The following is a 25,859-nucleotide window of genomic DNA, read 5'->3' on the forward strand; positions in this document are numbered from 1 at the left end:
TTCATAGTCAGACCCGCATGTGATCACAAAGTGGGTAGACTGGTTTTCATGATTTCATATTCAGATCCTTGGAGGATACTTATTTCCTTTCAGTTTCTTTCCTTCTTTCTTCCTAAATAAAAATATTATTTACTAGGCCAGGTGTGGTGGCTCATGCCTGTAATCCTAGCATGTTGGGAGGCTGAGGTGGGAAGATCATTTGAGGCTGGTTTGCAACCAGACTGGGCAACATAGCGAGACTCCTTGCCTATAAAAAATTAAGAGATTACCTGGGTGTGGTGGCATACACCTGTAGTCCCAGTTATTCAGGAGGCTGAAGTAGGAGGATCCTTTGAGTTTAGGAGGGCGAGGCTGCAGTGAGCTATGATCATGCCACTGCACTCCAACCTGGGTGACAGGACAAACCCTATCTCAAACAAAACAAATTTAAGAAAATTTTTAAAAGTTTGGAGCTGGCCAGGCATGGTGGCTCATGCCTGTAATCCCAGCACTTTGGGAGGCTGAGGCGGGTGGATCACCTGAGGTCAGGAGTTCGAGACCAGCCTGACCAACATGGAGAAACCCCGTCTCTACTAAAAATACAAAATTAGCTGGGCGTGGTGGCGCATGCCTGTAATCCTAGCTACTAGGGAGGCTGAGGCAGGAGAATCGCTTGAACCCTGGAGGTGGAGGTTGCAGTGAGCCGAGATCGTGCCATTGCACTCCAGCCTGGGCAACAAGAGTGAAACACCGTCTCAAAAAAAAAAAAAAGTTTGGAGCTAAGAATGGGCATGGTGGCTCATGCCTGTGATCCTAGCACTTTGAGAGGCCAAGGCAGAGGATCGCTTGAGGTCAGGAATTTGAGACTAGCCTGGGCAAGAAAGTCAGACCCATCTCTACAGAAAATTAAAAAATTAGCGAGGCATGGTGGTGCACGCCTGTAGTTCTAGCTACTTGGGAGGCTGAGGGGGAAATCAGTTGAGCCCAGGTGTTTGAGGTTACAGTGAACTATGATGGTGCCTCTGCACTTCAGCTGAGGCAACAGAGTGAGACCTTGTTTCAAAAACAAAAAAGAAAAAATGGAGCTATACAGAAAATACAGTAATGAATAGCCAGGTACCCATCAACCAAAATGAACAAATGTTGACATTTTTTACATTTAACAATTTTTATTTGCATTTAAAAGTATTTTTATCTAACAACATACCATGAGGTATATGTGGGCTTTAAACCTTGTTTGTTTTTAAAATAAAAGAAAGAACACATTTGTATTTCCTTCATCCCACCCACCCTGCCACCCCTCCAGCCCATTTACCTTCCTCCAGCCCCTGAGGTGGCTATTGTCATGGGTACGTGCCCTCCCTGTTCATGTGTGGGCCCATGTGTGGGTGGGTGTAGTTTATCTTCCCACGTGTATAGGGGAACTAAGCTAAAAATGATGTGAGTGAACACAGAATGGAGTTCAGAGTCAAGCTGACCAGGGTTGGAGACCTGGCTCTCCCGCTTTTGGCCTCTGTCCTTTGGCCTCTTTGAACCTGTTTACCCATCTGCAACGTGGCAATTATTAGCTTACAGCATTGCTGTTAACACTGGAGATAATGGTAAAGTGGCTGGCTTAATAAATGGTAACTGACATTATTAACCATTTCTGTTTTTATCTCTTTTTCTAGATGGAAAGCCCTTTGAGAGCAGAGACCCTGCCCGCAGCCTGTGTCCCTTTGTATAATTTACAATTTGTGCTACCTAGCTTTTTTTTTAAACAGTGGATCTTGCTCTGTCACTCAGGCTGGAGTGCAGTGGTGTGATCACAGCTCACAGCAGCCTAAACCTTCCAGATTCAAGCAATCATCCCACTGAGTAGCTGGGACTATAGGCACATACCACCACACCTGGTTAATTTTTTTTTTTAATTTTTGTAGAGTTGGGGGTGGGGGTGGGGGTGGGAGGGGGGGGGTCTCTCTATGTTGCTCAGGCTGGTCTCGAACTCCTGGACTCAACTGATCCTCCTGCCTCAGCTTCCCAAAGTGCTGGGATTACAGGTGTGAGCCCCTGGGCCTGGCCAGCTTGTTTCTTGAGGAAATGATTGCAATGCCCGAGCCCCACTTCCCAGCCTCAGTTCAGATGCACGTAAGGGCTGTTGCAAAAGCTGTGTTCTCAGTGCACCTGGAGGACACGGGGAACCATTTGGCTGAGGACAGAAGCAGTGATGAGAAGAGGCCCTTCGAATTTTCCCCCGGGTTCTGCTGTTGTCTATTCAAGTTACACATTAATTCAATATAGTGGCATGAAGGAGGAGACACAGAGCTACTTCATGGGATCTGTCTTCTTAACAGTCATGCATTATGCATTGCTGTTGTTTCAGGTGCGTTTTTGCAAGACTGCGCACTCACACGACCATTGAGAGGCTCACTTTGCAGTGGCCCTCCCAGGCCCTCCGTGGTTGGGTGTCCGTCTTTGTCAGAAAAGGGCCAGCAGGGGGCACCAAACCCGCACGTTTCTGCCGGGAGAGGGCGTCTGGGTGAGCGACAGGGCCTGAGGCTCACGTTCCTTCCCTCCCTTTGCTGATATTTGGACATTTCTTTCTACAGTAGTTTTAGACTCCCACAGCGGCAAGGCAGAGAGCTTTCTTTATTAAAGCAACAAACAAACAAACAAACACCCTTCTCCTTCAAACCTCATCTCCAACAGCAGCAGAAACTGTCATCACAAAAAGCCACTTCATTCATCTTCTTTTGATTTGCATTTGTTCATCTTAAATCAGGGGCCAGAGACCAAGAGGTATAAAATGATCTACCTGAACTGAACTGGAACATACTTGTCTAAGTCCTATTGTTTGCTATAAGGGCCTTACGATATTTTAGTTTATACGCATGCAGGTTAAGAATAATCATAGAGTTTCAGACCTGGGCACTAGATAAATATCATCTAGCCAGGGTTTCTGAGTCCACAGTTACACTCCAGCCCCCAGTTTTTGACATCTAAATCTGCACACTAGCTATATTATTTGTTTAGTATTTTAATATCTACTCCTGTAAAACTTACATAAGTTGATTTTAAAAAGACCACCATCATAAATGGAAAATTGCTATTTTTCAAATACATATTAAGATAAAGAATTAACATTAAAATAAGCTGGGCATAATGGCTCACACCTGTAATCCCAGCACTTTGGGAGGCTGAGGTGGGCGGATCACTTGAAGCCAGGAGTTCAAGAACAGCCTGAGCAGTATAGCAAAATCCTGTCTCTACGAAAAATACAAAAATTAACTGGGTGTGGTGGTGCGAGCCTGTAGTCCCAGCCACTTGGGAGGGTGTGGTGGCAGGATCACCTGAGCCCAGGGAGGTTGAGGCTGCAGTGAGCCGTGGTCATGCCACCGCATTCCAGCCTTGGCGAGAGTGAGACCCTGTCTCAAAAAACAAACAACAAAAACAAAACCCCCATTAAAACAGAAGCCCCTTCTCTGCCTCCCATACTACCTTACACTCCTTTATTTTGCCTGTGTGGAGCCTAGGCCAGAGAAGTGACTTGAATTGCCCCACATCTTGGTGAGCTGCAGAGCTGAGATTTAGCTGGGTACCTGTTCCTCTCTGGCACATGGCCATGACTAGGAAGGAACAGTTTTGTTAAACCAGCAGGTCTTACTCTTTGGAATGATCTTTGACAAAGTTTTAGTAGGCAGTGCCCACTTTTAATGTTTTTAGTGTTTTTCCTACTGCTTCTGGAAGGTGAAAGCCAAGAACAGGAGGGTCTGGGCGGGGGTCTAGGCTATTTACAGTGGCATTGATTTGATTACCACTCTTTAGCAGTGAAAAGTGTTGAGTATGCACTCCCAGCAGATGTATGCTTATTTATGTGTACTTTTGTACATGCATGACTGTACCAATATATTATGCTCATTGTAAAGTATACACAAATATTAACTCAAAAAATGGTAAAGAAAAGGAAAGCAGTATTTTAAAATGTCTTGTTAACTGCAATGGTTTCATTACTGTTGTCAGCTAATATCTTGAGCACAATTACACTTAGGGTTAGATTCCTCATTAGCAGCAGCACGCACCAAGCCATGTTTCAAAGACTCTTTTGGTAATTTGAAAACTTTTTGGCTGGCCTGTGAGATCTGATTATATTGTCTTGTTTGCCCTTGAAATATGGCTAACAACTTGTCAGGTCTGCCTCTTTCTTGCTGTTCATCTTGTTTTGCATTATTACTTCAATCCACAGTTTCTTTTTTGAAAAAAGCTTAAGCCTCTTGCCCACTTTGGGGATAGTTAAACATGGGATCCTCTCTGTAGTTCCACTTACCCAGGCTTGTCTATAACAGGCCACATCATGCTGAACAAGAGCCGAGAAGTAGAATCGCCAGTGTCAAGCCGTCCACGTTGTGGGATGCCCACTGTTCCCCCAGGATCACTCAAGACCCTGTGACTTGTGGTCACTGATGAGTGGACCAAGTGAAGGTACGAAGGTCGTTGCTTAGAGTGAATATTAATAAAGCTTAGCTTATTATGTGTTTAATTGTATAAAAATAAATACATGAACATTTTAGTATTTTCTTCTTGTACCCTCTGGATTGTGTTTTATGACCCACAAATGTAGAGAAAAAAATCCATGAACTGCCCAGGCGCGGTGGCTTACCCCTGTAATCCCAGCACTTTGGGAGGCCGAGGTGGGCAGATCATGAGGTCAAGAGATAGAGACCATTCTAGCCAACATGGTGAAACCCTGTCTCTACTAAAAATACAAAAATTAGCTGGGCATGGTGGCACGTGCCTGTAGTCCCAGCTACTTGAGAGGCTGAGGCAGGAGAATCGATCGAACCAGGAGGCGGAGGTTGCAGTGAGCCGAGATTGTGCCACTGCATTCCCGCCTGGCGACAAACCGAGACTCTGTCTCAAAAAAAAAAAAAAAAAAAAAAAAAAAAATCCATGCACTTCGGCTTGGCACATAAAGCCCTTCACAGCTCAACTTACCTTGCTGACTTCCTAGTCAACTCCAGGTGCTACCACTGGGCCACATCTATGGGCTTCCCACGAGACTATGAACCTTAGAGGGCAGGTATGGCATCTTATTCATCCTTGTGTTTTCAAAGCCTAGCTCAATGCTAGAGATGAAAATTTCCTAGATCTCAAAGCAAAAGGGCTGCCATGAAGAGTCATGGGCTTTCTGCCTTTGGGGTTGGGCCTTTGCAAAGCCTCTGCATGCTCCAGGCAGTGGTGCTGGCCCTCCATGTCTCTGTAGGCCTCCCCAGACAGCCTGGCCCCTGCATGGGTCTGCACTGCAAGAGCAGATAAGCCATTCGGCGCCTGCCATGGACAGAACAGCGCTGAACAGATGGGGCAGATTGTAAACTTTGCAGCACGTTTTCTTACCCTCTGCCATCATCGCATCATCCCCGCCAGAAAATCTGTCTCTACGCAGTGCTAAGGACACACTCTTTCCTTGTGAGCCCTTCCTGGCCCCACTCTTGTTTTTTTTTGTTTTTAGGAGCTATAGGTATAAAGCCAGATGGCTTCACCCACTTCCCCAGCTCTGCTTCTGTTTCAGTGACAGGGAAATTAAGAACTGTTTTTAGGGGGTAGGGGAAGATTTCACCTGGATCCTGGAGATGGGGCATCTTGCATACTGTGATGTCCAGGTATGGCTGTTCTGGCTGTGGGATATGGTGTTTTTTGTTTGTTTGTTAGTTTTTTGGCATGTGTGTTTATCTCAGTTTCTTGCATTTTCCCCTATCTCTCTGCTCTCTTGACCTGATGGAGGTTGGCGGCGGTGGTGGGATGACCTCCATACTCCCATGGGGCAGTGCTGAGCACACCTTGGAGCAGGAGCCTGTTCTGCACACCCAATAGTGTGTGCAGAAATGCCAGCTGGGAGCCTATTTAACGGAGCCATTTCATAAATCGGGATGCTGAAACTCTGATTACACACAGCATTTTTGTAGGCTGCGGTGGGGCTGATCTCAACCCCACAGGGTTTACTCACCCGCCTGGAGTGGCGTTTGATGCCTCGCCTTCCAGGATGTTTCTCTCTGAGGGGAAAGATATTCCTTTTTTTGTAGTTTATTATTATTATTATTTCAGTAGTTTTGGGGGAGCAGGTGGTGTTTGGTTACATGGGTAAGTTCTTTAGTGGTGATTTCTGAGATTTTGATGCACCCATCACCTAAACAGTGTACACTGTACCCAGTGTGTAGTCTTTTATCCCTCACCCCCTCCCACCCTTCCCCCTAAATCCACATAGTCTATGATATCATTCTTATGCCTTTGCGTCCTTATAGCTTAACTCCCACCTGTGAGTGAGAACATACGATGTTTGGTTTTCCATTCCTGAGATACTTCACTTAGAATAACAGTCTCGATCCGGGTTGCTGCATTTGCCATTAGGGAAATATATTCTTGTCTTTTTTATTTCTGAGCAAATCTTTGCTGAGGAGAAACACTAGGATGTTATTACTGCCAACCCAGTGGAGGTGTTAATGCTGTGTGCTGGGCCTTGGGAATGATGGGGGTGCCTTGAGGAGGGTAAGGAATGCAGAATAGACCCTTTCATCATAAAGCTTGATAAACCGAGCGATCCTTTAGCAAGCGGCAGGACAGCATGCTTATGGTTCGCTACTGGAATTTGTAGACTGGATAATGGAGTGCTGTTCATTTCTAGTGCTTAGAGGTCTAAGGTTTATGTACCTTAGAGATGAATTCTCTAGATACCCTGGGGAGGCTTTAGCAGCAGAGCCGGCCCTCACCCGAGGTGGCCACAGACTGCAGCGATTCATGAACCTCGTACTTTATGATGCTCTACAGCTTTCTAAGCACTTTCAGATGCATTATTACTTCAATAAACATTAATTGAGTGCAAAATACTGGGGATGCCAGGCAGACTTGGTGCCTGCCTTCAGACCTTGTCTTATTTTTTATTTTTATTTATTTAGTTTTTTTAGAGACAAGGTCTCTGTCACCCAGTTGGAGTGCAGTGGTGCAATCATAGCTCACTGTAGCCTCGGACTCTTGGGTTCCAAGGTATCCTCCTGCTTCAGCCTTCCTGGGACTACAGGCATGCACCAACACACCTGCCTAATTTTTGAAGCCTTTTTTTTTTTTTAGAGACAGGGTCTTGCTATGCTTCCCAAGCTGGTCTTGAACTCTGGCCTCAAGCGATCTCCCACCTTGGCCTCCCAAAGCACTGGGATTACTGGTGTGAGCCATGGCATTGAGGCTTTTTTGTTTGCTTTTCAGCCCATTGAGGTCTCTTCTAGACCCCCTCTTACTCATTCAGTCACTGTGACAACCTTGTGACACATGCAGGGCGGGAGGACTAGCCTCATTTTATGCTGAGGAAGCTGAGATTCAGAGATAGGCAACAACCCGTACAGCTCCAAAGGACAAGAGGAAGAAGGAGAACTAGAAGCCAGCCTTTGGATTTCGAGTTTAGTCCTCCTTTTGCTTCATATGGAGGAATAGTGGTTACAAACAGGTTTTCTTAAGATCCAGGCTTGGTGCAATGGGTTCAATCTCTTAGTGGTACCAATTATGAGCATGTGATCTTGGGAAATTACCTTTTTAGCCTAAGTTTCATCATCCATAAAAGGAATTAATAATAATACCTACCCCACTAGGTTGTTCTGCAGATGAAATGAGGTAAAGTTTGTAAGACTGTTAGCATAGCACTTGGCATATATAAAGCACTTAATAAATGGCAGTTACTACTATGGTTATCGTATTCGTCTGTTCTAATGCTGCTAATAAACACATACCTGAAACTGGGCAATTTATAAATGAAAGAGGTTTAATTGACTCACAGCACCGCATGGCAGGGGAGGCCTCACAGTCATGGCAGAAGGGCCTGAATAGAACAGAAGGCAGAGGAAGGGAAAACTTGCCTCTTTTTCTGCCTGACTGCTTGAGCTGGGGCATCAATCTACTTCTGTCTGTGGACTGAGACTTACACTATTGGCTCCCCTGGTTCTCAGGCCTTCAGACTAGGACGGAACTACACCACCAGCCTTCCTGAGTCTCCAGCTTGCAGACGGCAGATCATGGGACCTCTTAGCCTCTATGATTGCGGGAGTTCTCAAAATTTCTCTTTCTCTGTATGCGTGTATGTGTATGCTTGTGTGTGTGAAAGATACATATCACATACTATATATTTTATGTGTGCGTGTACATATATACATGTTATATATGTAATATATTAAATAATATATATAATATACACATCACATATACATTTTGTGTGTGTACTCTTCATGCAGAAGTGGCAGGAAATATGTATATGTATACTATATATGTACACACATAAAAATATATAATATGTGACATGTATAGTTTATATTATATATATTATTTAATATGTATCTCCTGTTGGTTCTGTTTCTTGGGAGAACTTTGACTAACACGGTAGCTACTAGCCACATGTGGCTATTGAGATGGAAATGAATTAAAATTAAATATAATTAAAATTGATTTTGTCAGTCACAGTAGACCACATTTCAAGTGCTTACTAGCCAATGTGGATAGTGACTACTCTGTTGGACAGTGCAGAATAGAATATTTCCATCACTGTAGAAAGTTCTATTGACTAGTGCTAGTTTAGAGTACCCAGAGGCCAAGGCTCTGTATCCAGTTGAAAAACAGCAAACCTTTCTCCCAGGGTGACTCAACAACAGCTGCATCTTTGCCACATCTCCCCTGGCACCATTTACTATTATTATTTTGTTCTCTGTTGCTCAAGGATTCACCATGGCTTGGAAATGAAGGAAACAATTTCTCTGCTTCTACACTTTGTGAAAGTACATAAAATTTTAGGACACCCTAAATTTATTATGCAGCACAACATCTCTCAAGCCTTACACAGAAAGGCTTGAGCACAACACATTAAGCCTTATATAGAAAGATGTTGAAATTCTGTAAAGCTTTCCTAAGCTTTGTCGATATAAGCGATCCCACACCTCTACACTTAAGAACACTGACTTCCATTCTTTGGAATCTGTGCTTCCCAAGCAGGCTCATCCTCAACATTTGCTCTTGAACAAACTCTCTTTAAAACAGATTCTGACCTTTTTATTATTTTAGGTGGACAACTAGTTCACATAGAGATATGTAAGAGTTAGATTGAACCACATGGAATTGCCTTTTTTGTAGATCAGAAAAAGCATTGAATTGAATATTGTCAGTTTCATAAGGTTCAGGCTAATACAAAGTGAAGTGAGAACAGTGATAGAGGTTCTGGGACAGGAAGTGCATGCATAGCTTGTGTTCCTTTTTCAGTCCCGAATTTGTGTACTGTGAGATGGGGATAATCCAGGTGGTTTCATCTTAAGGAAGGATGGCTGACTGAACTCCTGCTTATTCCTTGCCTGCCACAGCTGCATGAAGAGAGGCTCATGTGTGTTTATGGAGAATAGTTATGGGAGAGTTAGAGTATATACAGCTGTAAGAACCAGAAAGCCTGAAAACCAATGGCTTTATACATACTGCATTCTGAACAAGCATCCTGGAGGTGGTATTTCTGGATCTGGATCAGTAATTCCATGTCGTCAGGGCACTAACTTGGCATCTCTGCTTTTCTCTCCACCTTCCCCCTACAGTCCACAAGATGGCTGCTGTGGCTCCAGGCATCACGTCCACATGCAAATCCATCCAGAGGCAGGAACTGGGAATAGGCTTGGAGGTGGCCAGGACAGCAAGTGGGCTGTCTGTATAAACCTCCCCTCCACTTGGGAAGGAAAATCACCCCCCAAGTCGATTTTCTGTCCATCTTATTGATCAGAGAGCGTTATAAATTCACCCATTAAATAATCTGGACAAGGGGAGCGTGCATGTTGTCCTTGGTTTAGACTGGTTATGATTTATGCCCTGAAATTGGACATATTGCCAAGCAAGCGAAATTGAGATTCCATCAGCCAGGAAGAAGGGGTAAGGATGATGAATATTGGGTAGGCACATGATAGGGGTTGTCACAAGTTTTAAGATGCTTTCAATTAGTAAATAACTGTCAAGATTACCTTTTGTTTTCACCTGCCCAGTCTCCATTGTGCCTCCTTCAGAAACACACACTGGGTTTTCTTTGGGTGTGAAGGGGCCTCTGTGTCCATCATTCCAGTGTGAGCACATGATCTGAGCCCGGTCAGTGAGGTTTAATTTCAGGACTTTGGTTGGAACTCTTGGGAAAGACAAGTTCTCCCTGACCTGGGGTGTTTGAAAAGATAACATGCTAGCCTGGAATTGTTGGGGGCTATTTTACCTGCCTACCTACCTGAATGAATGAATGGTTGACTGAATTAAGCTGACACAAAGGGGTGGTAGAGGGATGAGGAGAGGAGAACAGAGGGATGGTGAGAAACTTGGTCCAAATGAAATTGCTTGAGACCGGTATGCAGCTGTGACAGATGATTCAGTTACATGACATAATAAATCTTTCCCTCATCCCCCACCTTATTTTTTTCTTTTGTATGTAAGTTAGTTTGAGTTGCAAAAGATTACTGACAGGAATGGTACCTAGCAATGGAGTGTTACAAGTAATAGACCCTAAAATGTGGATTGGCAAATTGCAGGTAGAATGGAAGGCAATAAAGTTCTCCTATCCCTGGCTAAGAAGTTGGCAGTCTTTGTTATGCTCCGATAAAGCATATTAAATTGTTGCCTGTTCTCCCTTAGGACTCACAGCATGTGCCATTGGAGATTGGATCATTAAAGTACTTGATAGAACTTGTCAGGCTGTGGAGTGTGTAGGCTACTTCCTGAAGTTCTTAGTGAGTTCCTATGAGAAAAAGACAAGCTTCTATCATCTGAAAGTTAAAAAAAAAGAAAAATGTGTCTTTGATAAAAGAAGTCCTTTCTCTTTTGGTAACTGAGAGCCAGACAACACTGTACTTTGCAGGGTTGGAAAAAATGAGTTCTCTGTTACATGATGAAACTCATTCCAGCAAAGACAGAGACACTGGAAACAGAATAGAAGATACTACTAAAATTGGGAAGGAGCTGGAGTCTGATTTTGACTCCTCCAGGACAGATGACAACCATCCTCGGGGTTATCAAAAGTTGTCACTGCAGAGTGAAAGCCCAAGCCACAGGTGGGAGAAGGTATTGCAGCGTGTCTAACTGGTAAAGTGCTCCTATCTGGAATACACAAACAACTCCAGCAAATAAATCAGTAAATCACAAAAGGACAGTCAGTTCAATAGAATAGTGAGAGGAAGAGATTGACAGGGCATTTCACAACAGATGACAATGAACAGGAAAAGTGCTCAGCCTCACCTGTCATCAGGGACATGCCTGGAAACAGCAAGGAGATCCCACTACACATTCTAGGAGAACAGCTAAAACCTAAAAAAACAACTGATCATATCAGTGTTAATGAATATGTGGAACTGTTGGAACCCTCATCCTCTGCTGGTGGGAGTATAAAGAGGCCCACATACTTTGGAAAACAGTGTGGCATTATCTATTAAAGGCAAATGTATGCATATCTTACTACAAAGCAATTCCACTCCTAGGTCTATGTGTGCGTATGTGTAAGAAAAAACACAAAAAATGTGCTGGCTTGGTGCCATGGCTCAAGCCCTTAAGCCCAGTGTTTTGGGGAACCTGAGGCAGGAGTATTGTTTGAGACCAGGAATTCGAGACCAGCCTGGGCAACATAGGAAGACTCCATCTCTACAAAAAATAAAAAATAAAATTAGATGAGCATGGTACTGTGTACTTGTAGTCCTAGCTACTTGGGAGGCTGAGGCAGAAGGATCGCTTGAGTGCAGGAGTTCAAGGTTATAGTGAGCTATGATTGGGCCACTGCACTCCAGCCTGGGTGACAGAGAGGGACCCTGTCTCAAAAAAAAAAAAAGTTCTTAGCAACATTGTTTATAATAGTCCCAAATTGAGAAAACCTAAATACCCATCAACAGCAGAGTGGGTAAATACGTTGTGGTGTAGTTTTGCAATGAACACTTTGTAAATACACAGAACAAACTATTGCTATGTGCAACAACATGAAATAATCTTGCAGATATAATTTTGAGTGAAAGAAGCTTGATATGATGAAATACCATAGAGTCTCATTTATGTAAGACTCAAGACCAGGCAAAATGAATATATGGTGTTAGAACTCAAGTGAATGGAGACCTTTGAGGACAGGGGAAAGGGTTGGTGATAGGAAGGGGAAAAGAGGGGCTTCTGAGGTCCTGGTTTTGTTCTATTTCTCAACCTGGCGATGGTTACACAGAGGTGCTTACTTTGTGATGATGTGTGTGGGCTGTAAGATGTGTGATCTCTGCACTTCTCTATATGTGTGTTACATGTCAATAAAAATGTTAAAAAGTCTCCTAATCATAGACTATGGAGGAAGAGATGGCTGTGAGAGTACAAATCAGTGATTCATTAAAATAATAATTATCCCTGAGCTGCAGGGCAAGAGGCACATTAGTAGGGCCTCCCCATTCCAGGCTGTAGTTTGAATTTCACTGATGCAGAGGTTAAAGTGGAGGCCATTAAGCTGAGAAGGAGGATGGAGCCCTGAGGCTGCTGCTAAGAAACAAAACTCCCAGGCCAGAGTCTAGATGAGGACACTGTCTCTTGCTTTGCCTAATGTCCCATGAAATGACCAGATGCAAATGGACTGAAAAAGTACTAAGTTATAAACTTCTTAGGGAATTGCTTTGCCAGAAAACTCCCAGCATGATTAAAAAGGGCCTCTGGTCAGCCCAAGGTAAACCCCTGCTCCCAAATCTGCACCATCTGGAAATGGGTCACTAAAGGATCCTCCCAGGGTCCCACCTCAGATGTGGAAATGGAGGACGACTGGCAAAGGGGACCCTCTCAGAGGGCAGAACCAGGGTTGTCAGATCGGCTGGTCAAGGACCTCAGTCCCCTGCTAGTGTGAGTCCTTGCTGTTCTTGTCCAACAGACCATGATGTACATAAAGGACTGGTGATCACAGTAGGCTGTTTCCCCTTCTCATTTCCAAATGGGAAATTCTGTTATATTCTGCTATTTTCTCTTCTGTCTTATATACTGAGTGTGTTGGGTTGGTTTACATTTATCCTTTAGCCTCTAGGGTATCAAACTATGAATTGCTATATACAGATCACCTTGATAGATATCTGTATGACCTTGAGATCTTGGTCTTGGAGCTGGGTGCAAAAACAGGGGCATAATTTTGGGTTGTCTATGACTGTAGAGGGAATGACTTAGTTTTTGAAAGTATGTAGTATAGTTGCATTGTGTTAGGTAGGGATATTACTGAAATTGAACAAATGCAAAGAAGGATGTGTATAGAAAATGAGAAGCCAAGGGGTGGGTTGTTGGGTGTATTTGTTATTTTTGCCTTCAAGTATCAATTTCTTCCTCTTATGATAATAGCTCCCTGATTTTCTTTTGGAGAAACAGTGTCTTCCCAACCGAGATTGTGTGGTTTATCCCTTTCCCTTGATCACAGTGGTTGATTCAGAGATAGGCAAGTGACTCAGACCAGGAGCCCAAGCGATGAGATCAGATTCCAGAACATTTGAGAATCTCCTGGGAGAGAAGAGTTCCCTTTGCACTGATGCTGTTAGACTATAGGATATAAATCTGTAGCGGTTGGGTGCTCTCTTGCCATTACATAGGAAGTATCCGCCTAAATGTAGCCATTCAAGATGAAAACAAAGCAGGAAAAAAAGAGAGACCAAGTTTGATGTTCTAATCTAAGCTCTCATGGCAATTACCCTCCTGTATGTTTTAGTTGCACGGACCCCACAAATCTCATATTTTGCTTGAGATCACATGAGTTGGGTTTCTGAAACTTTCAACTGAGAATCTTATAATTGCGACCAGCTATGGGAAATGCACAAACACTTCCGTGTGTTTTGCATATATTTGGTGTCATGCAACTTTTAACTAAATGAAAGGAGAGTGGCTTTTACTGAAATGCCTAAGTTGCAGGCATTAACCCAGTGGGGGAAGACCTAGTTGAGTATATTCTTTCATTTCCTTGCTTTGGCATCCAAGGCTTGGGAGCAGTCCATATCAGGAATTCATTGCTCAGGTCCGCATAGCTTGTTTTTCCCTCCTCCCAAGTGAAGAGCATCAGACCTTCCACAGTCAGGGTGTGTCCTTGTGAATTTCCAGCTGAGCCAGCTCACTGATGCATGGATGCCACAATGATGGCAGTATTTTCTGCTCTACACGCACATGTAACAGCAGTGTGTTCTACCCAGGAAATGGGGGGTGGAGGCAGTAGCTTTGTGGGCCATCACCCTTGGGCCTAGGATAGCATGGAATATAGCAAGATCTGTGGTGTTCAAGGGTCAGGGATGTGTATTAGATTCAGTCTGAGTCACAAGTAGGTGAAACAGTGAGATTAGGGAAGGATGGAATCCTGGGAGTACGAATGGAAGGAGCCAAAAGCTGAGGAGATGGGGGTATCAGAATAAGATCCAGGAAATACAGAATAAGAGTTAGAAACTGGCCAGGCAGAAGAGCCAGGAGACAGAGATGCTCTAAGGAGGCACTGGACAGGCCTGCCATACACTGGAGAATGGAGTTTGTGCTGCTTGAGGGTATGTTGAAGGGTTTGCCTGAGCTATGTGCTACCACTAAGGTATCACCATGCCTGGTGAGCTCTGCGGGGTTCTCTCTCATCCTCTGCTTCAGCTGGGCACTGTGTCACATGTATGTGCTCTGGATCAGAGACCAGAATGGGAGCACAGCAGATTCACTTAACTACAGTTACATTTGCTGGTTTTTTCTATTACAAATGTATGAATTTTATCCTCCTACAAAACTTCAAGTCAAAACTCCTCCTCAGCATCTGGCTAACCAGGCAAAAGTAGGTGCTTTCTAGGGTCTGAATGTTGGTGTCCCCCCAAATTCATATTTGAAACTGAATCCCCAATGTGATCGTATTAAGAAGTTAGGTCTTTTGGGAAGTGATTAAGCCACAAGGGCAAACTAATGAACCATGAATGGGATTAGTGCCCTCGTAAAAGACTGAAGGGAGCTTTTTTCCCCCTTTGTGCCATGTGAGGACACAGCAACAAATTACCATCTGTGAAGCAGAGAGCTCCCACCAGACACCGGAGCTGCTCGTGCCTGAGCTTGGACTTCATGCCTCTGGAATGGTGAGAAATAGATTTCTTTTTTGCGGGTGGGAGAGCAGATTCACTTTATTTATTTATTTATTTTTTGCAATGCAGCATGTATTTGGAGGGCTTTAGGTCTCAGTATTACAAATTATCTCCATTGAGAAATAAATTTTTGTTGTTTATAAGCTACCTAGTCTAAGGCATTTTGTTATAGCAGCCTGTATTCGGTCATTCTTTCATTGCTACAAAGAAACACCTGAGACTGGGTAATTTATAACAGGTTTAACTGGCCCATGGTTCTGCAGGCTGTACAGGAGGCATAGCGATGGCTTCTGCTTCCGGGGAGGCCTCTAGAAGCTTCCAATTATGGTGGAAGGCAAAGCGTGAGCCTACACATAACATGGTGAAAGAAGGAGCAAGAGAGAAGCGGAGAGGGGGCCACACACTTCTAAACAACCAGGTCTCATGAGAACTCACTCACTATCACGAGGAAGCACTAAGCCATTCATGAGGGCTCCAGCCCCATGACCCAATCACCTCCCATCAGGCCCGCCTCCAACATTGGGGATTATATTTCAACCTGAGATTTGGCGGGTACAAATATCCGACAATGTCACAGCCGAAACAGACTAAGACAGGGCTGAAAAAACTTGATGAGCGTGAGTGCTCACTGTGTGTATATGCAAAGTGTGTGGGGGACAGGTGCTTGGGGGGACATGAAGATGAACCCTGCACAGATCTTGCATACCAGGGGCTTGTACTGCTGAGGGAGGCATCACAGGGGCTCTAGCCTGCTGTCAATCCTGTGCCCTACTGACATTGTAAATAACCGCATTTATCACCCATCTGTTCAAGGAATTGTGTGAGCCACTAAGGTAATTTTTTAATTCCAGAAAGAGAGAAAATACTGTTTCTTACTGCAGGAAACTTTATTTTCTTCACTTCACAAAAGCACCAGTGAAACGGCTGTTGAATAAAATTGTGAACTTTGCCTGATGGGTGTCACTAAGGCAGCAGATCCTAAAACAGGGGCTGGCGTGTGCTCATATCAGGCTGTTTGATGAACACTTTGCTACCAGTTACTCCACTCTGTATTTATAGCACAACATGATTTTACTAAAACCCTACGATGGAATCTTATGCAGAATTTTATGCAAAGTAGTTTCTAAAAAGACTTTTAAAGTCATGGAAAATTGGCTTGGATACAATGTTAGGCAATAAAAACAGGACTCATATATAGAGTTTGTAAAAAAAAATATATTTGAGATGATGGATATCCTAATTACCCTGATCTAATCACTGTACATTAGATGCATCAAAACAATAGTATGTACCCAATAAATATATAATTATGTGTCAATTACAAATATAAAAGTATCAAAATTATATATGTGTATGCATATACATATATCTATATCTATACAATAATAATACTTCTTTTAAAGTATATCTGAATAGCTGGATCCGTATCTGTATATGTACACACACATAAGAGTTCAAGGAAAATCCTGGGCTGGGTGCAGTGGCTCATGCCTGTAATTCCAGCACTTTGGGAAGCTGAGGTAAGAGGATTGCTTGAGGCCAGGAGTTCAAGACCAGAGTGGGCAACATGGCAGGACCCCCATCTCTATAAAAAATACAAAAAATTAGCCAGGTCTGGTGGCACATGCCTGTAGTTTGAGCTACTTGGGAAGCTGAGGTGTAAGGATTGATTGAGCCTGGGAGGTCAAGGCTGCAGTATGCTATGATCATGTCACTGCACTCCAGCCTGGGTGACAGTGCAAGGCTCTGTCTCTAAAACAATAAAATAAAATTAACAAAATGCCTATTTTTTGAAATTTTATTTACTTATTTATTTATGTATTTTTAAGAGACAAGATCTTATTATATTGTACAGGTTGGAGTGCAGTGGTGTGATCATGGCTCACTGTAGCCTTAACCTCCTGAGCTCAAAGGATCCTGCTCCCTTAGCCACCTGAGTAGCTGGTACCATGGTGGGCATCACCACACCTAGAAAATTAAAAAAATTTTTTTAGAGAGTTGGGGGTCTCGCTTTGTTGCCCATGCTGGTCTTGAACTCCTGGCTTCAAGTGATCCACCTCAGCCTCCTGGAGTGCTGGGATTACAGGCATGAGCCACAGCAGCTGGCCAATGCCTGGTGCTAATAGTAGTTAACATTTAGGTCATAGAGTTACAGGCAATTTGGGTTTTCTTCCTTTGTATTTTCAAATTTTCTATAATGATTATGTGTTGTTTTTCTACATGATTATATTTTATGGTCACAATATAAAGACAAATTCATTTTTAAAAAGAATTACCTGAAACCTATGAACAATAATAATGTATTTGACAATGTCCCATGTGGAGCATATCACAAATATCCTACATTTTAGAGACTACCCAACTTGCGCGTGGTCATTTAGGAAGCTAATGGTGGGATTAAGAATTGAATTTGGAGAATGTTGAGGTTCTTTGCTGTCTTCCTGACAGCCCTTGCCCATGTGCTTATGGTAGGCAGACTGCTGGCATCACTGTTTCATGGACTGTGTACCATTTGGGGGAAGAGGAGATGGACACTGTGAGGGCGAGTCGGCTGGGGCAGCCTCCCCCAGGCAGCTCTCCCTGCTCCCACCGGAAATGGGAAAGCAGGGTGAGTCATAGGTCAGGTGGCCTCCTGCATCTTGATTTCCAGCTTGTTTAAGTTTGTAAGTTCAGAGCAGCTGTTCAGCTTTGTTCTTACTTTGTTTGTGTTACACTGGTATCCAGTGATCCATTGGCACAGAGACACAGTTTCTACTTTGATACAATCTGTGTCAGCCTGGCAGTTAATTTATTTAGCAGCATCTTAAATTTTTTTGTTTTTGCATAAAATCCAGCTCCTGCAGGATATTTATCAGCATCTTTGCAAGAGAGGATGAATTCAAAATAAAGTACAAGAGAAGAAACATTCAGGTATGAGCAGTGGAGGGATGCATAATTATATTATTCCATCTTACCAGGCCGGGGGTTTTGATGTGACACAAGGATGCTATCAAAGTACTCAATATTAGCAAAAAGAGAGGGCTGTTTTGGACATGTGCTGCTCCGAATGACCAGAAGGACCTATAGCCTCCTCTAGATTCACACACAACCCTAGTGAACTTATGCTGCCCCTTCCAGGTGAAACTCAAATGCTAATGGGGGCAGTTGGTAGGATAGGACATACAAGGTGGGGAGGCAGAGAGGGAAGGTTATTTTCCAGTGCTCATGTGAGTGGGAACTGATAAGGGACTCCATGGGGAAAATGAAGAAACGCTTTGTATATTCCTCTGAACTCTAGTTAGGCCTAACCTGCTAAAAGTCAGACTTTGTTTCTGATAACGGGCTGTACCTTCATGCCCTTGTAGGTGTAATGGCCATAACGAGGGGTTAGAGACTTTGTCCTGAATTTTTAAATGCTGATGTAGGCATGGGAACCAAGACTTTTTGGCCAACATGGACCCGAAGATCCATGGAGGGGAGCCAGCTTGGTATTGCTGAGCGCTTGCTATGTACTGGCATTGCTGAGCACCTGCTGTTTGCTGCCCTTACATCATGCTGTGGAGGCATGGAAAACAGTCTGCCTTCTGGGGCAGGAGAGGGCTGCACTTCTGGGAAGTCTGGAACCTGGGCAAAGCTTCACCAAACACATGCTCTGCAGTTCCCTGGGTCCCAAGGTAAGGTCGTTTCCAGGAGGAATGCCGGAGGGGACTAGAGAATATGCTGTAAAATCTTGTTTGTGTAAATCATCATGTAGTATTATATTTTGTTTGTGCAGTTTCCATGTGCCTCCATTCAGGAATTATTTCTCAATTATTTATTATGTACAGAGTAAATTAAGTCCCATTAGTCAAGTCTCAAATTGCATTTGGCTGTTCCATTGTAATTACTCCTAGGTTATCATTATCAATATTAACTAAAATTTGTGTGTTCTAGGCTTTAGAGCTTAGGAACCACTTTCATGCACAGCATTACATTTAATACAGCAAGCCTGTGAAGTGGGGATTAGTATCCACACTTTACAGATGAAAGGAGTGAGGCTGAGACACATCCAAAACTACACAGCTCTCAAGATGCTGAGCTGGAATTTTAAACCCTACATTTCTTTTTTTTTTCTTTTTTTCTTTTTTTTTAGATGGAGTCTTGCTCTGTCGCCAGACTGGAGTGCAGTGGCATGATCTTGGCTCACTGCAACCTCTGCCTCCTGGGTTCAAGCGGTTCTCCTGCCTCAGCCTCCCAAGTAGTTGGGATTACAGGCGCCTGCCACCATGTGCGGCTAATTTTTGTATTTTTAGTAGAGATGGGGTTTCACCATGTTGGCCAGGATGGTCGCGATCTCCTGACCTTGTGATACACCTGCCTCGGCCTCCCAAAGTGCTAGGATTATAGGCGTGAGCCACTGTGTGGCCTAAACCCTACATTTCTTACTGTAAACCCAGCATTATTTCCATCACATCATTCCATGACTCTCCTTTTTTCCCCCCTAGGATAAAATAAAGCTTTTCCTGGGCTAGCTGAATAGAGCAGACTTCCTAGGCATGGAACTGGGGGTTCAGGGCGTAGGGCCTCTCTTCATCTTCCAATTTCCTCTTCCTATCATGTTGATTTGGAGACATCAAGGAGAAAGATTCAGGAATGTGAGAGTGGAGAAAGAGAATAGTGTATTCCAGCTGTAGTCACATCAGTGTCTTCATTTATTTAGTAACCATTAATAAATACCTGCTGTATGCCAAATACTGCCCTAGGCACTGGGGGTACAGTGGGGAAGATGACAGGCATGAACCCTGCCCTCATGAAGCCTGGAACTCCATGGAGCCTGGAACTCTATGGGGAAAACAGGGACTCAGTGAGTCATTAGTCATACTACTGAATGTTATGAAGAGGTGCACTGTGTACCTTTATATAATACAGGGGTCTAAGATAGGAAGACCCCACCTACGGTGTCTGGAAAGGCTTTCTAGGGAGAGCAGTGTTAAAGCTGAGTGTGGAATTAGCGAAGTGAAGCTCTAGGTCATAGGGAATGTGGTACTTTTGAAGAGTTGAAAGGCCAAGACAACTGGAATGAGTCAAGGGAGGATTGTAGATCAATGGAGATGTGTTGGAACCAGGTTATGCAGAGAATGAAAGAATTTTAGTCTTTATCCTAAGAGTAACGGGAAGCAATAGAAGGATTTTTAGCAGGGGTGTGACATGATTGGATTTGAATTTCAAAGTATGAATTTCACTGCACTGCGGAGAATATGTGTGTGAGTTCTGGACCCATCTGTGAGACATCCAAGTGACTGAGGTGGGCAGCTGGAGCTCAGGAGAGGGTCTGCAGCACAGAGGCAGATGAGAGACAATTGGCACAAATAAAACAAACGAAGTGGAGGAAGTCTATTTGGGGAGATGGTAGAGAGGCGAGAGAAGGCATTCATTCACTCTATAAACATTTATTGCTCCTGACTGCTGGTGTTCTAGGTACTTGGGTTGAAGAATAAAAAAGACAAAGATTCCTCCATTGTGGGGCCTGTATTCTAGTAAGGAAAGGTAGACGGTGGGGTGGGAGGGAAGTCAGACAATAAGTAACAGATCTATAGTAATAAAGATGTACTTATAAGGTATGGTGCAGAAAGACAAAATAGAGGAGGGTAAGGGGAGTGGGAACTCGGGGCATGGGTGGATTGCAATTTTAAATAGAGCGATCAAGGTAGGTTTTTCCACGAAGGTAAAGGAGAGAGCCACAAACGACCATTTCCCGTGCAAAGGCTCTAGAGAGTGCGAGGAACAGCACAGAGACCCAGTGTCTGGAGCCAGGAGATGAGGTCAGACAGAAAACAGGAGGTCTGGGCACAGAGGGCCTTGTGGGCTTTGGGTTTTAGTCTGAGATGGGGGAGCCTGTGGAAGGTTTGAAGAAGAAGGGTGGGATGATGTGACAAGTAAGAGGACCACTCTCATAACTGCGTTAGGAACAGACCTTGTCGAGGGCAAAGTGGAAGCAGCACCAGCAGAGGCTCTTGCAGTTATCCAGGTGAGAGGTGATGGCGGCTCCCATCTGGGTGGTGGTACTGGAAGTGGGCAGAAGTGGTTGTATTCTGGGCCTGAGATCTAGCTTGGAGCCCATAGGACAACCAACAGGTATTTATTAACATTTGCTAAATTAAGTGGAATAGAATCTACCTAACATAGTCACAAAGTCAGATAATAGAAATATTTTTGTTTTCAAGACCTTTTAAATGATCTAGGAGATAAAACTAAATGGAGTCAAGAATAACTGCAGGAATAATACCATCACCAATTTGTATCTACTAATGCTAAATGCTGTAGTAAAGACTTTATATATATCAGGTTGACTGTTTCGCAGCTTTATGTGGTTCAACTTAATATTATCTAAGTTAACCATTGCAACCACCTTGTGAGTTTAGATTATTCCTATTGTACAGATGAGGACATTGAGGCTCAGGAAGATTCAGTAGAGAAGTGGTGGCAAAGACAATAAAACAAAGGGTATAATGAAGGACTAAATAGTATCATTTATGTAATAAATATTATGTGAGTCTATTCAGGAGAAATTTATGTGGGCTGGCATCATTCAGGAACCTTCAAGGAACAGAGAAACCTGAGTCAGGCTGTGAGAAAAGGTTAGACTTTGTTGATTTGTGGAGGTGGAGAGGAGAATTCCAAATAGAGGAAAATGCTCTGGCAAAGTCATAGAGTTGGGTTACAGATTAAAGTATCAGAGACACCAGCATAGGAAACAGAGCAAGAGCATGTCTCTACAAAAAAAAAAAATAAAATAAAATTGGCTGAGAGTAGTGGCGCGCCCTTATATTCCTAGCTACTTGGGAGGCTGAGGTGGGAGGATCACTTGAGCCTAGGAGTTCAAGATTACAATGAGCTCTGAAGAGTGAGAACCCGTCTCAAAAAAAAAAAAAAAAAATCAGAGAGAGGACAGTCTGGCTGAATTTAAAAGTCTATCTGCTGTATCACTTTTCTAGTACTTTTGTAACAAATCACCACAAATTGGGTGGCTTAAAACAACAGAAATGTATTATCTCATCGTTCTGGGGGCTGGAAGTCTGTCATCGAGGTGTTAGCAGGGCCATGTTCTCTCTGAAGCCTCGAGGGGAGAATCTGTTGTGTGCCCTTCTCTTAGCTTTTGGTGCTGCTAGTAATCCGTGGCCTTTCTTGCCTCATCCAGTTTCTGCCTTGTTATCATGTGGAGCTCTCCCTGCATGTCTGTCCCTGTGTTTCCTCTCCTCTTTTTATAATGACACCTGTCATACTGCATCAAGGCTTGCCCCAATTCAGTCTAACCGCATCTCAACTTGATTACATTGGCAAGTTCCCATTTCCAAATAAGGTCACTTTCACAGGTACTGAGGGTTAAAACTTGAACATAGGCTGGGAGCACATAGGCTGGGAGCAGTGGCTTGCGCTTGTAATCCCAGCATTTTGGGAGGCTGACGCAGGTGGATCGCTTGAGCCCAGGAGTTTGAGACTAGCCTGGGCAACATGGTGAAACCCCGTCTTTACACAAACTACAAAAATTAGGTGGGCATGGTGGCACATGCCTGTGGTCCCAGCTACTCCAGAGGCTGAGGTGGGATGATTGCTTGAGCCTCGGAGGTTGAGGCTTCAGTGAGCCATGATCATGCCACTGCACTCTAGCCTGGGTGACAGAGCGAGACCATGTCTCAGATAAAACAAAACAACAAAAAACCCTTGAACATATCTTCTTGGGGAACACAATTCAACCATAACATCTGCTAAGCAAATTACTGTGTGTTGAATGAATGTATGAAATGGATGACATGTGATTGGATATGAAGAGTGTAAATGTTTGAGACTACTGAGAGTCTGAAATGTCTGGTGGAGTCTGGAAAATGCTTTACCCAGGATGGTAAAACTTGTTCATCAAAATGCTGGGAGTTGACTTTATAGGGTGAGGAAATGGAGGATTATGGTTTGTAATTTGGGATTTAAGACTTTTAGATCTTCAATCTGTCTATAGATGTCCCCAGATTTTTATCTCTCGATTCTATAAAAAATGACTGTTAAAAATACCAGTTGCCAGCTTGGAACACCCAAGCAGCAAGTCTGTGGTCTTAGAACAGAGATTATTTTTCTTGAGTTAAAGTCTTTGGAAGAAGCAGTAATGGACTCAGCAGAGAAAACATGGAAAAAATCAGTGGTGAGACTAGCATGAACATGGAGTCCTTTTCTATAACAGGAGAGTCTAAACATAGCTGCTATGATCATATATCACCACAGACAGTGTCTTCCACCTGCACCCCCTCAAGTTTTTTACAAACTTGACACATTACTTTCCTCACCTTTTCACAGCCGCATTACAGGGGCTGATCCACAATGAACAAGTCCCGGAGGTTGGTCTGTTTTTCCTAAGTACCTCTTGCCAATCCCCCAGTGGCAGGTGCAGGTGCCACCCTGGCAGGTACTCATCAGCTGTAGGCAGTGTGCCTTGCAGATTCAGCCTCTTCAGAAACACCAGGTACTCATAGACACCTACCGGCCTATATTTCCACATCTGTCTGTTCTGGGCTGAATTGTGTCTGCCCCCAAAAAAGATATGTTGAAGTCCTAACCCCCAGCAACTCAGATGGGATGTTATTTGAAAATAAGCACTTCACAGATTAAGTGAAGTTAAGGTGAGGTCATTAGGGCAGGCCCTAATCCAATAGGACTGATGTCCTCATAAGAAGAGGGGAATCTGGACGTAGACGCAGCGAGGAGAGCATCAAGAGAAGACAGAGACACGCAGGGAGAACTCCATGCCGTGACAGAGGAGGGCTGCAGCTGCAGCCAAGGGTGCCAGCAAACACCAGGAGCTAGAAGAAGTGAGGAAGGCTCCTCCCCTGCAGGTTTTAGAGAAAGCAGGACCCTGCTGACACCTTGACTTCAGACTTCAGACTGCAAGAGAATAAGCTTATGTTGTTTCAAACCATCCAACATATAGTAGTTTGTTACAGCATCACTGAGAAACAAACGGACTGTCCCTTTCATCAAGGTTAACGTGTCTGAAGTTTCATTTTCTAATGTTACTGTACTCAACTGAATTGACTTAGCAAATTAATTACTGTGAAGGGATTTACAGCGGCTGATGGCATAACAGGGGTGTGGGGAACTGCATGGTCTGTAGCAGGGACCTTGTCTGGCAGGTTACTGTCAAATGTAGTAACCGAGGAGAGTGGAATGAAGGGACACTACAAAGATGTGAACAGGGGTGAGGGAAGCACCAAGGATGCAAGGGAGGGCTGCTGCCACTGGGGCTGGTAACAGTGGGTGCCATTAAATCCACCTGTAGGCGTGAAGGAGGCAGGGCAAGGGCCTATTCCCAGAGCTGGGGACAGCGGTAGTGTGGCCGCAGGAGATGGCTGCCTAGTGGGATCTGTGGCCTCCTGTAGAGGCATGGGACCGCTGTCACCTGCAGCAAGGCAGGGAGGGAGCTAGAAGATAAACACCTGCTCTTTCTCTCGCCCTCTGGCTCTTTTGTTAACATCCCTTAACCAGAAGCTGGAGGGTAAAGGAACCTGTGGATGTAGTTGTAAAAGTCGGCCTCCCTGGGGTGCAAAGAAGAGTGGACAAAATTGGGGTCCCCAGCAGGGATGAGGATGGGAAATGTGTCCTGACAATGTCAGATGGGGCAAGGATCCATCTGTCAGCAGCCTACCCCTCCCCACCTTTGATTTGACTTTCCAAGGATATGCCTAGTAGAAAAAGTCTCCCTTTCAAGCCTATTTGCATTTTGGTGGCATCCCCTTTTTTTAATTGTGGGAAATAGCTGCCATAATTGTTGTCTTTTTTTTTTTTTTTTTTTTTTTTGAGACAGAGTTGTACTCTTGTCGCCCAGGCTGGAGTACAATGGCGTGATCTCAGCTCACCGTAACCTCTGCCTCCTGCGTTCAAGCGATTCTCCTGCCTCAGCCTCCTGAGTAGCTGGGATTACAGGCATGCGCCACCACGCCTGGCTAATTTTGTATTTTTAGTAGAGATGGGGTTTCTCCATGTTGGTCGGGCTGGTCTCGAACTCCCGACCTCAGGTGATCTGCCCACCTCGGCTTCCCAAAGTGCTGGGATTACAGGCATGAGCCACTGTGCCTGGCCCATAATTGTTTTAATTGTGGGAAATGCTAAGTCATAATGTAGAGCCCTTTAATGCTCCAAGGTGACGGGGCAGAGATGGGACAGATGAAACAAAATGGGATAGACAATAGTGGTCTTGTTAGCTCAGAGGCAATGATTGTCCAAAGAAAGACACTGTCTAGGGACAAAGTTAGAAAGAAAGAATCATATTAAAGGAAAAGAGGTGAGGGGGATTCCAGTTAGTGGAGAGAAAGTGCTGGAGAAAGACTTGGGAAGATGACTGGACTCAATCCTGAGGGAAGAGATTAGCGTAACAAATTTCTGAATGTGAGAATTAGAGAGGGAAAAACAGTGTCTTCCTTACAGGATTGTGGTGAGGAGCAAATGAATCAACGCATGAGCAAAGGATGGTCGCATCTGTGAAAGGAAATTCAATCTCGGGACCCCAAAATCCTACACCAAAGAGAAAAGTCAAGCTGGGAACTGCATCAGGCAAACCTGCCTCCCATTTAATTGCTAAATAAGATAGCTACAAAGATTTTTTAAAAAGGAAAAAAAAACTACATATCTCCATCACAATTTGCCCGCAAGGAAATTTTTATGGGCCTCAAGATCTTTACCCTGAAACGGTTCTGTTGAATTTCACTTTGGAAATGTAAGTTGATAGCTGATCTTCACAACTGCGGGACAAAGGACAGAACTCAAAGTCATCCCTCTGCTCACCTGAGA

The 25,859-nt window shown here is 44.0% G+C and overlaps 1 protein-coding gene across 13 annotated transcripts in view, besides 1 other annotated feature; it reads left to right on the top strand.

Annotated features, from left to right (window-relative positions):
- Window positions 1–25,859, top strand: part of CNIH3 (cornichon family AMPA receptor auxiliary protein 3) — a 305,915-nt gene that overhangs the window by 76,800 nt on the left and 203,256 nt on the right. For 7 of the 13 annotated variants that reach the window (NR_136289.1, NR_136290.1, NR_136293.2 and 4 more), the window contains one exon: window positions 4,302–4,437. The exons of 5 other annotated variants lie outside the window; for them this stretch is intronic. Coding sequence is in view for 1 of the 8 variants with exons in the window: in NM_001322304.2 (NP_001309233.1) it covers window positions 4,419–4,445 (27 nt within the window). In the remaining 7 variants the exon portion in view is untranslated. Of the gene's footprint in view, window positions 1–4,301; window positions 4,446–25,859 lie in introns of all 13 variants that reach the window. One more of the 13 variants, NM_001322304.2, reaches the window with a different exon arrangement.
- Window positions 4,174–4,378: a silencer, noted in NCBI's record as "fragment chr1:224703315-224703519 (GRCh37/hg19 assembly coordinates)". NCBI's record gives its function as "represses an EF-1alpha promoter that drives an FKBP-Casp9 reporter gene in an ReSE screen in K562 erythroleukemia cells {active_cell/tissue: K562}" and the evidence as "EXISTENCE:reporter gene assay evidence [ECO:0000049][PMID:32094911]".

The sequence above is a fragment of the Homo sapiens genome, chromosome 1 (genome assembly GCF_000001405.40).
Source record: "Homo sapiens chromosome 1, GRCh38.p14 Primary Assembly".
NCBI lineage: Eukaryota > Metazoa > Chordata > Mammalia > Primates > Hominidae > Homo > Homo sapiens.